The sequence below is a fragment of the Homo sapiens genome, chromosome 10 (assembly GCF_000001405.40).
Source record: "Homo sapiens chromosome 10, GRCh38.p14 Primary Assembly".
NCBI classification, from domain to species: Eukaryota; Metazoa; Chordata; class Mammalia; order Primates; family Hominidae; genus Homo; species Homo sapiens.
Genome location: NC_000010.11, coordinates 109,400,088 through 109,412,348, shown reverse-complemented (window position 1 = coordinate 109,412,348; position 12,261 = coordinate 109,400,088). Strand labels below are relative to the sequence as shown.

Here is a 12,261-nt window from a genome sequence, read left to right as displayed (position 1 = left end):
CAAACAAGATTGCTTGGTGTTTTGATTTACTGGGCCTCAGAGGCATCTGAAATTGCAGCTCTTTTTACTTTTTGTACTCAGACATTTTATACAAAAGCAACAGAAGTCCTGTGTTGTGTCTATAAATCTTATTCTTTTCATAGGTTTGCTTTTTGCCAGTAAAGAAACAAAGGGCTAAGTTGGAATGTGTCATGTCATGGACCTTCTCTGACCCCTACCGTCCATCTCTCCCTAGGTTTGGAGCAGAGTTGAACACTGGTAACTGGTGGCTGCTTCCCGTGCTGCTTATTCACATGACCACTGGGAACACAAGTAGGTTGAGTACTTTTGTTCTTTGCTACATTTCCACTCACCACTGACGTCTTTGTAGGTTGAATGCTGGCATGCCTGCCTGGGTGTTCAAGATCAGTTTATTCTAGCACTATCTCTTTTTGGATGTCGAAGGCTTTTGGGAGATGGTTTGAATGCTTCCGGGGACCTTATCTGCCAAGCGAAGAGCAATTGGTAAGCAAATAAATAGCAATGAGCTACCACGTAAAAACTAATTTTGATCTACTTGATATTCCTCCTAGAGCCATCTTTCAGCGAGAAAGTTCTAATCTATATTAAATTTGCATTTTATAATAAGTAAAAATGGAGACCAATGGATTAATATACAATAAGAGAAGAATAGTCTCAAAATAATTTTTCCCTTCTAACCTGAAATGCACTCTCAGGTTTAGTATAGTTTGATTGGTATTTCCTTCATCTTCAAGGAGTTTTATTTATTAGACACCTTGACATCAAGAAAAAGAGTCAAAGGGCAATATTTCTCCTGCTGACTCATCAAAGTACCCCATTGGAGGCCTTTGTCATGAGTTCTGGGCAGAGGAAAACTTGGTTCTGAGAAGCTGTTATGTGGAGCTGGGGTCTGTTTTCCCTGGCACAAATGACATCTCACAAAGGAATTAACAAAGTGGGCAAATGGGACAACCTTGCCTTTCCAGAGAAAAATACTTGACTAACAGCTTAGGAGGTGGGGCTAATGAGAAGCAGGGTTTCTCTGAAAGGTCTTGATCTTAAGGTAACAGAAAAACCTGGCTGCCGAAGGGGATCTGAGTGACACCATGTCCTAGATGTTATCTCATCCTTTATCATTCAGATAAAAAACAATTTTACCCAGCGAAGACATGAAATCACATTTTAAAATTTCTACAACTTACCAAGTCTTTTCTTCTTTGCCTGAGCCCTAGAAGTCCTGTTCTGCAGTCAGTCCTTTGCTGACCTTAATCAAGGCCCTACTACTGCAGCACTGTTGCTGCTGGAAGTCCTTCTCACCTTTGCTTTTTGGCAGGGCTTCCTGGGAGCTGGTGGTATTTCTATTAATTTCAGAATGCAGATACCTGACACAATCCATTAGTCTTGGAGTCACATTCTCATGGTTTGGCCTGGTACTGTCTAAATTGACTGCTTCCAAAGTCAAGGTCAGGGGGACACAGACTTGAGGGTCAAGCAACAAGGAGAGGGAAAGGAGGAAGATGCGGAAGAGGAGGACATTTCCTAAGGCTGAGAAACAGAGCAGAGAGTTAAATATTTTAAAACCAGAGGAGATTGAGATTTAGATGTAAAGAAGTGTCAAGAAATCCAGATTTACTATGCTGTTTAATTCAAAGAACTATTCTAGCCCAGGAAAGAATAATGATGATGATAGTAACAATAATAGCCACTTATTTAGTAGCTATTATAGTTAAGATACAGTTTTAAATGGTTTTGCATATATTTTCTAATTGGTTTCTTATAACAAACTTATAAAGTATATGCTATTAACCTTTCTATTTTACATATGAGAAAACTGAAATTCAGGAATGAGAAGTAGTTTGCCTAGGGCCACCCAGGTAATGAGTACAGCACTGAGATTTTTAGCTTAGTTCTAATTGGTACTGTGGTATGTGTTTTATTTTTTTCTTTATCGTTGTAAACATTGTAGTCTGTAGGTACTCTGCCCAGGTCTCTTCTAGTCATCTTTATTAATTCTGGGTGCATGGCTTCTAACTTCTGTGTACTTCTCCCAGGAAATCACACCTGCAACTTTCTCTAGAGGATTACCTTTGGGCTACTAGAGCCTCTTAGACCAGAGCAGGGAATGCTTAGTAATTTACAGTCCTCTGCTTATGATCCCAAACCAATGACTAATCATTGCAGCACTATAAAAGCTCAACACCTGTGCCTCAAGTTGGGCCACCTCTTAAACTGTGATAAACAACAGTGGAGTTGAACTCCAGAGCCCCCTATGGATTCTGTCATCTGTAATCCAGTCTCTTTCGTTCACCAACGCTGGTTGTTTTCCAGGCTCATGGATATAGTATTTATTTTAGCTGTAATGTGTTATTCTTCCTTCCTAATGGCATTGGCCATTTTCTGATCCAGAATGGAAACAAACAGTAAATGTCTTTTTTCACGGAACTGAATTTTAATGTGTACCTTCTAGAAATGCTACACAAAATATTTGGCATGAATCCTGGCACGTGCAGCAGAATACTGGTTAGAACAGAAGAACTTGCAGCTCAGAAAACACATCAAGTCAGATCCCCTGGACTAAAAGAGTGAAAACAAATTGCCTCTTTTTTTTTTTTTTTTTATTTAGAAAAGCTTGTTTAGCAAATTTTTTTTTCTTTTTTTCTCTTTTTTTATTTCAGTGGCAGTAACTTTGGCAAATAGGTTTGAACTGTCAAAAGTACGTTAAATCAAGCTTCAAATATTATGAAACAGAAACTGTCATAGCTTTGTGATTATATTTGCTTTGTGATTGTGTGAAAAAAATCACAATCACAATAGCATAACCATAATAATGAATAAAGGCTATGAATGCCCTTTCATGGAATAAAACCATTATAAGATATATGGCACATTGAATCTTTTTTCTCAACAGCTTTATTGAAATATAATTCACATTCTATATAATTTGCCCACTTTGAGTATACAATTTACTGCTTTTTGGCGTATTCACAGGACAGCATAACCATCACACGATGTAAGTTTAGAATATTTTTCTTTCATCTAAAAGAAATTCCATATTCATTAGCTATCAATCCCCATTCTCTCCTATAAAAACACCCCAATCCCTAAGCAACCACTAATCTAATTTATGTCTCTAAAATATGCCCATTCATATTGCACATAAATGGAACCACAGAATATGCTTTTGCTTTTTGTGACTGGCTTCTTCTTTAACTTGGCACAGTGTTTTTAAGGTTTATTTATATTGTAGCGTATATCAGTACTTTATTCCTTTTTATTGCAACATAATACTCTATTTTATGGATAATCCACATTTTGTTTATCCATTCATCAGTTGAGGAATATTTGGGTTTTTCCATTTTCTGGATATAAGGAATAAATATGCTGTGAACGTTCATGTAGAAGTTTTTGTGTGGGTATGTTTTCATTTCTTTTGGGCATATATATGGGAGTGAAGTTGCTGAATCATATGGTAACTCTATGTTTGACATTTTGAGAAACTGTCAAACTTTTTTCCAGAATTGCTGCATTACTCTGCATTTCCACCAGTAGTTCATGGGGGTGCGGACTTCTGTATACCCTTGTTAGCACTTATTATTATATTTCTTTTTTATTATAGTATTCTATTAGATCTAAACTGGCATCTTATTGTAGTTTTGATTTGTATTTCTCTAATGACTAATGATGTTGAGATTCTTTGTATGTGCTTATTAGCCACTTGTATATATTCTTTGGAGCAATACGTATTCAAATTATTCACTCATTATTTAATTTGCTTTTTTATGATTAAGTATTCTTCACATATTCTGAAAACAATTTCCTTATTTGATATACGATGTGAAAATACTTTATCCCATTCTGTGGGGAGTATTTTCACTTTCATGATAATATTGTTTGTGGCACAAAACATTTCAATTTTGATATACTCCAATATAACATTTTTTTCTTTTGTTGCTATGTTTTTGGCATCATATATAAGAAACCATTGCCCAATGAAGATTTACTCCTATGTTTTCATTTAAGAGTTTTCTAGTTTTTATTTCTTACATTTAGGCCTCTGAACTGTTTTTATTTATTATTTTTTCTTTATTCAACTTTTATTTTAGACTTAGGGGATAGAAATGCAGGTTTGTCACGAAGATATTGTGTGATGCCGAAGCCTGGAATACGAATGAATCCATCACCGGGGTAGTGAGCATAGTACCCAATAGGTAATTTTTTTCAATCCTTACTCGTTCTTTCCCCACTTTTGTATTCCCCAGTGTCTACTATTCCCATTTTTATGACCATGTGTACCCAATATTAGCTCCCACTTATATTATAAGTGAGAACATGTGATATTTGGTTTTTTGTTCCTGTGTCAGTTCGCTTAGGGCAGTGGTTTCTAGCTGCATCCATGTAGCTGTGAACAACATGATCTCTTTCTTTTCTATAGCTGTGTAGAATTCCCATAGTGTATATGTACCACATTTTATTAATCCAGTCCACCATTGATGGGCACCTAGGTTGATTCCATGTCTTCACCATTGTGAATAATGCTGTGATGGATATATGGGTTCATGTGACTTTGGTAGAAGAATTTACTTTTCTTTGCATATATACCCAGTAGTTGGATTGTTGGGTTGCATGGTAGTTTAACTCTTAGTTCTTTGAGAAATCTCCAAACTGCTTTCCACAGTGATGAAACTAACTTACATTTCCACTAACAGTGTGTAAGTGTTCCGTTTTCTCCACAGCCTTGCCAACATCTGTAAGTTTTTGACTTTTTAACAAAAGCCATTGAATTAAATTTTGATTATGGTATGAGTAGGGGTTCAATTTTATTCTTTTTAATGAGACAAATCCAGTTTTACCAGTACCATTTATTAAAAAGATTATTGATTCTCTATTGAATTGTCTGGGCTTTCTTGTTAAAAATCAATTGAACATAAATGTATGAGTGAGTCTATTTCTGGATCCTACCATTTGATGCCATTGGTCTGGATATCTATTTTATGACAGTACTATACTGTCTTAATCAGATTGTAGTTTTTGAAATTGAGATATGTCAGTCTTCCAGTTCTGTTCTTTTTCAAGATTGTTTTGGCTATACTGTATTCTTTTTATTTCTCTATCAATATTATACAAGCTTGTCAATTTCTGCAAAAAGGGCAGCTGGAGTTTTGATAGGGATTGTTTTGAATCTCAGATCAATTTGGGAAGTATTGTCATGTTAACAATATTAAGTCTTCTAATCCATAAAAATGGAATGCCTTTCCACTTATTTAGTTCTTCTTTAATTTCTTCCAATAATACTTTATAATGTTCAGCGTATAAGTCTTTCATGGCTTTTGTTCATTTTATACCTAAGTAATTTTATTCTTTTTGATACTATTGTAAATGGAATTAAAAAATTTATTTTCAAAATATTCATTGCTAGTGTGTACAAATAAAATTGATGTTTCCATATTAACCTTGTATTATGCAGGCTTGCTGGACCTATTAGTTGATTAGTATTAATTAGCTTTTATTAGTACTTATTTTATTACTGGTACTACTAACAGTATTTAAATTGATTTTCTGTGATATACCTATCATATGCAAATATAGTTTCACTTTTCTCTTTATAATCTGGATGCCTTTTGTTTCTTTTTATTGCCAAATTTTCCTTGTAGAACCCCCAATACAAGGTTAAATAGAATTGATAAAGAGGACATTCTTGAATGGTTCCTAATTCAGGGGGAAAGCATTAAGTCATTCACCATTAAATATGATGTTCACTATTCACATAGATGCCACTTTTCAGATTAAGGAAGTTCTCCTTTGTTCTTAGGTTACTGAATATAATGCTCATGAAATGGCATTGGATTTTATAAAATAAATTTGTATCAATTGATATGATCCTGTGGTTTCTGTCCTTTATTCCATTAACGTTGTATCATATATTGATTCACTTTCATGTGTTAAACAAACCATGCATTACTTGAGATAATTCCCTTGTGGTCATAATGAATAATCCTTTTTAAATATTGCTGCGTTTAGTTTTCTAGTACTTTGTTGAGAGTCTTTGAATCTATATTGGTTTTTATTTTTTCTTCTTATGATGGCTTTGTTTAGCTTTGGTATCAGAATAATAATAGGATAATATGGGCCTTGTAGAATGAGTTGAGAAGTGTTTCTTCATCTTCTATTTTGTGGAAAAGTTTGCAAAGGATTGGTATTAATTCTTCTTTGAACATTTTATAAGAATTCATTTATGAAGCCATCCAGGCCTGAATTTTACTTTATGGGAAGTTCTTAAATTACTGATTCATCTCTTTACTTGTTATCGATCACTACAGATGTTCTAATTCTTCCTGAGTCAGATTTAGTAATTTACATCTTTCTATAAATTTGTCCATTTCATGTAAGTTATTTAGTTTCTTGACGCACTGCTGTATATAGTATTTTCTTATGATACTTTTTATTTCCATAAGATCAGTAGTGATGTCATGTCCCCTCTTTATTCCTGAATTTTATAATTTGAATCTTCTTTCCTTTTTGCTTTGTCAGTCTAGCTTAGTTTGTCAGTTTTGTTGACCTTGTCAGTGAACCAATTTTTAGCTTTGTTGGTTTCTCCATTGTTTTTATATTTTTGATTATGTTTATTTATGCTCTAGTCTTTGTTATTTCTTTTATTTCTTTCCTATTCTCTCTTTGGATTGATTTTTCTCTGAATAAGGCATGGTTCAGATCTCCCATTTCCTTAACTTGGCTCCCTTTCATTGAAGTCTTCTTCCGATGAATTCTGTGGGATTGACTGTAAGGAGTGTATGGGGCTGGGCATCAGAACCAAGCATTGGCAGATATCCACCAGTTAACTTGGCCACAGTGGGATTTCATTACTCAATATGTTCTTGTTTATCTTCTTTTGAGAATTCTGTCTAAAATTAGTCGCTGAATGGGATTGTTTAACTAAATGTTTGGGAATAGTGAAGAATAAAAATAAATTCATATACAGAGATACCATTCATGGTGGTAAGAAATGAGACACATTTAACGAGGGAAATAATGTGTCTGTACTTACCTCAGGGGGTTTTCCTTACATAGGGATAGTCAAGGTCATGAACTTTCACACAATGGGCTTTCAGCCTTTCAAGGCACTTTCCAAAAATGATATAAAATTGAAAGTTAGAGGTAAACCATGATGGGCCCTGAATGTAGATACTGGATCATTGAAAACAATTTAAAATAGATAAACAAATAGGCAAACAGCAAATAAAAATTTGTAAAACAGACAAACACACAAAAACATTAGTTCAATGAGTCTAAGCCCTAGCAGTCTGTAAGAATCACCTGTGAAACTTGATAAGAATACAGATACCTAATCTGAACCTATTGAATCAGAATTTTTTTTTTTGACTGCTGGTATTGGATATTTGCAGTTATACACTGCTTAAGAGACTCTGTGGCACTGGTTGGATTAGGAACTGTAGAACTAGGTCCAATGGCTTTATCCTAAATGTAGCCCTGGCTTCCCCAAGATAAACCAGCCTGCCTGTTGAGTTGGGTCACAATCACACATATCACTGTCCCTTGTCCCTGCATCTCCCATCAGACCTAATTATGCTGACGGCACTCTGAACTATTTTTGGTTTCCCAAGGAGAGTCTCGTGTGCTCATGAATGGACCTGGGTAGATGACATATAATGCTCCCTGGGCCCTGCTGATCCAGGTGTCACTACTGTGGCTTCCTCAGAAGGACCTAATCTTGTCCCAAGGCTCCAAGTCTCCCACTGGGCACTGGCTCTTGTAGTCTGGATTCTTAGGGCTTAGTGATAGCCTGATCTGTGCTATCTGTGAGTTCTCTTCCAGGAGTTCTCTTTCTAACCCACTTTCTCACCAGGTATACAAAAATATCTATGTTTCTCTGAGGCAGACTGAGGCACTTACAGAAGAAGAAACTATATACCTGGGAGCTTGTGGGACGGGATGAAAATGAGCTGGGAGCAGGGAGCAGAATTTCACTCAGCAGCAAGGGACGAGGGGGTGGGGGTTGGGGGTTCGGGGGGGTAGTTGGGGGGGCAGCGTGGGGGCAGCACTGCCCCCTCCACAGCATGTTGATTGCTTAGGTCCATAAGGAGCTTGCTTTGCTTTCATGTCATGTGCTTCTCTGGGCCAGGCTGGTTTAAAAATTAAGATATTGGGATAAAAGGTGCAAAAAAAATCAAATGCTAGAACTATCAGAGTGAAAATTATGCATTTTCTCAAGGAAGAAATTATGCTTCTTTTAGATGTGAATTAAGTTTTATTTCAGTCCCGGAGTTGTTGCTTATTTTCTACATGTTAGGGAAAATTCAAGTTAGAAAAAAATATTAGGCTTATCCTGGATATGAATAAGGAACACACATAGGTTGCAGGAGGAGAGACTAATGGGGACTTAATGCTTGAGGGCCTGCTTAACACCTTCCAGGACAAATCTCTCAGGATGTAGCCACGTAGGAAGGTAACAGATCACTCACTTTTGTTGCCCTTTCTCAATACTTTCAGAAGTTACCCTGGTCTGAGAGCTAGTAGATAGATCACCAGGAGTGCACAGGGCACAGTGTGAAGGTTTGACTTCAGTCTGAGTCAGGGAAGCTGGAGTGACACATCTGTTTTCAAAGTTTACCGTGGAGGTTGTGTGGAGAGCTGTGGGGCTGTTGTCCTCACTGCAGTGAGAGCTCCCTGTCCTGGATCTTTGGAACACAGGTGTGTGCATGTGTGTATCTAGGTGTTTGGGGGTGGAGGGGTCTAGTTAATGGCAGTGAAGATGGAGCTGAGACCTACCCCAGCCACCTGTCAAGCACTGGACTCTAACAGTGTTATAGTATCAAAAGAATCAGCAACTGGTGGCTTTGGCTCTTCCTGTTTGATTTAGTACCTCATCTAAAAAGGCAACACCATGACAAAGGCAATGAGACTCCACTGTCCCATTAGGTAGGGTTGAGAAGAGTAGTTGTTTGATGTGACCACTATCATCAGTATCTCCTGAAGTTGCTCACTGACATGATGGGGTCAGGAAGAAAGGGTGGAGAACTGCATGACCTTATCCCTCTACTCAGCATTCATGAGCCTCCAGCTGGCTCTGATCTATGAATGTACCTCCTTTACCCCTGAGGGCTGCGGACAGCACTGATGACAGCTTCCTTTAAATGCTTTGACTTCAGAAGGTGATCATAGACACTCATATTGATTTTCTTTTATTTACTGTAGCTGGAATGACATTCCCAGAGGAAAAGAGGCAATGCCCTTTGAGTCACAGAGAGTGTCTGGGGCACCTTTAGAGTAATGTAGACGGGACTTCAACCTTTGCATTATTCAGTGAAAGAGGGGACCACATTTGACTTTATGCCATGTTATCTATGAGCTCATGATCTTAGAGAAAGCAATGTGCAAAGGAAGGTATTAAATAGAAATGGAGGGCAACATCTGTTGAAATAGGGAAATCCTAGAGGGAAAGCAAGTGATTTAAAAGAAATCTGACATTGCAAATCACACTGGGGCTGAGAATTAATAGATTTAGGAGAAGAGAGCAATGAATATGTGAGCAGCTTTATATTTTGATCTCTTTGAGATGTACATACACTAAATTTCCAGATCTCTTTTTGGTGTCATGAAACCCTAGGGCTATTTGTCAGGGTGTACAAAAACGTGATTTGGAATGTTGTTAGGGAGGAAGCAAAGAAGAGAAAAAGAGGTGCTGGGCAGATTTGTATACACAAGAGGGTGAATTTTTCTGTGGAATGTTGATCAGCAGATGGAGAAGACGATGTCGGAATCAAGCCATAGATGCCCAGAAACTAATAATTACGGAAACTTCTGATGTCAGTGAGTGAAGTCTGGTAAGTTTTGTTTTATTAATATATTGCCTTTCAAGACACAACCTGTCCAAGTCATAGGGACATATTCATAAAGGGTGTTCTTTTTTCAAAAAAAAACTTTATTGAGGTATAATTTACATTCCATAAAGTATACAATTCCATGACCTTTATTAAATGGTGCAACCATTACCACAATCAAAGTAAGGTCTAGAACATTTATATCATCCCAATAAGATTCCTTGTGTTAAGTTGCAATTAATACTCATTGCCATTCCCACCTCCAGACAGCCACTAATTTACAGACCTCTGTAGATTTGCCTTTTCTGGATATTTCATATAAATACAATCTACAAATGGAGTGTTTGCTCTTTTGTGTCTCACTTCTTTCACTTAACAGTGTTTTGGAGTTTCATCCATATTATAGGATTTATCTGTATCTTTTTCCTTTTATTGCTAAATATACCACACTTTGTTTATCCATTTGCCAGTTGATGGACTGTTGATTTGGGTTGTCTCTAATTTTTGGATAGTATGAATAAGCCATTATGAATTATTGTTGGAACAGTTTGTAGACTGTCATGTGTATAGAGAGGAGCATGGCTTTCCTCACATGTGAAAGCTTTTCCAATGATTTTTGAAATTAAGTATCATTATTGGTACCATATTTTAGAAATATAGTATTTACTCGATATTATAATTAATAAGTACAGCTCTATCCAAATGAAATCAGAGAACATTTTATGTAGAGACACTGTTTTATAGATCCTGTAAGGCATGCCAACAAAGGTACTAAATGTCTATATTTTCATAGAAATACTGAACAAAAGACTGCAGTCACTTTTAAATTCACAAGTCCTCTTCATATTTTCATCCCTCAAACAAATCCCTTATATCTTTTCCTCATATTATCATTTTTTTCTCCTTTGACCCTTTGAAAAACGTATATTTTTCTTCAGTGTTGTCAAACAGATCATTACTTCTAAGTTGGTAACTTTAAAGTTTCTTCATGAAACTTTATACTTCAGTCTTTATACTTTACGTGTGATAAATAATTTTTAAACACTATTATTTTCTAAATGGGCTTTCATCATGGGGATCACTAAGTTATAGAAATAAAGATGAGTTAAAAAGCCAATGCAGGTGTCCACTGGGTGGAAAGGTGAGAAGAGGAGGCCCTGGAAATGTCAGGAAGCTAGTTATGGACCACAGGGCGAGTCTCAGGTGGATTTTGAAGTGTCAAACAGCAGGATTCCCTCTGCCTTTGGTCTGGGTTACCTGTGGAGCCAAAGGCACTTCTGTGTTTTCACAATGGCAAGAGGCAGTGAGAAGAAGAAGAAGGAGAACACAGACAGCTGCATGGCTGTAATCACCATTTACAGAGTACATGGTCTGTGCCAGGCTTTCTGCTAAACACAAGCTTTATGTTGTTTTATATTCACCAGGACTCTGTGAGGTGGGTATTGGTGTCACTTATAGTCTACAGATGAAGAAACTGAGGCTCACAGAAGTCAAGTAAGTGCCCCAGATTTCACAACTATGGAGTGATGGGAGTGAGATTTGGTTGTATGTGACTAGAAATTTCTTAATTTTTATGCTGTGATATATAAGATTATTATCATTAAGACAAATTCTTAGAGAGTTAGAGCCAAAGCACTACCTCTTGCATATCTGTGGTGGAGACTTTCCGCAGAGAGCAGGGAGCAGGCATTCCAATGCTGTTCTTCCGTGAGTCTTTGACTGCCCTGTTTGCCACCAGCTGTGAGTGCCCATACAACGAACCAAGCATCATCCAAGTGGATCCTGACTTTGAAACTTAGAGAATTGTGTTGCAATGCAACTATAAGAAAGCCTGGGATTTTAAAAAAATCAGCAGTTTTGAAACAGAAAGGGAGTAAAAGCTGTAAAGAGAACACTATTAGAGTCATCAAATGTCTCCTGCTTAAGATTGAAAAACTTACATTATACAGAATACTACAGTATTATAAATGAGTGTCAGCATTCATCTATTTTTTGGTCATGTTTATGCCCAGGATTTAATATTGGCCATTTTTTTTCTTTTAATGATCTTAAACAAATGGATAAGCTATTGAGAGCCATATTACCTGCCAATTTAAAATTAAAAAAAAATTTAAAAAGGAGACAGTACAATAAAGTTTAGGGCCTAGAGATGTTTTTTTCTCTCTTTTCCATGCATACTATATCATCAAAGTCAATTTGGCCTAGAGGCATTTATTTATAGTTAAGGACAAGGAAATCTGTCAGAAAAATAAGTTCAACCACACGAATCCATCTAGGAAGCCAGGAAGGCCCAAAGGAAGAGAGGATCCTGGAGGGAAGCCCCTCTCCAGGGTGCACATTTGCAAGGCAGGAAGAGTTTTGGGGCTGGGTTTATCCAGCTCACAATTGAGCTGATAGAGATATCTTCTTCAAAGATAATTGTGTA

General features: G+C 36.8%; 1 long non-coding RNA gene across 1 annotated transcript; it reads left to right on the top strand.

The window, feature by feature from the left end:
• The first annotated feature begins 336 nt into the window (after positions 1-336).
• Positions 337-11,334, top strand: LOC107984182 (uncharacterized). The gene is made up of 3 exons (XR_001747307.2): positions 337-504; positions 9,752-9,839; positions 11,261-11,334. It is a non-coding gene; the product is annotated as an uncharacterized LOC107984182 (long non-coding RNA).
• Positions 11,335-12,261: the final 927 nt, after the last annotated feature.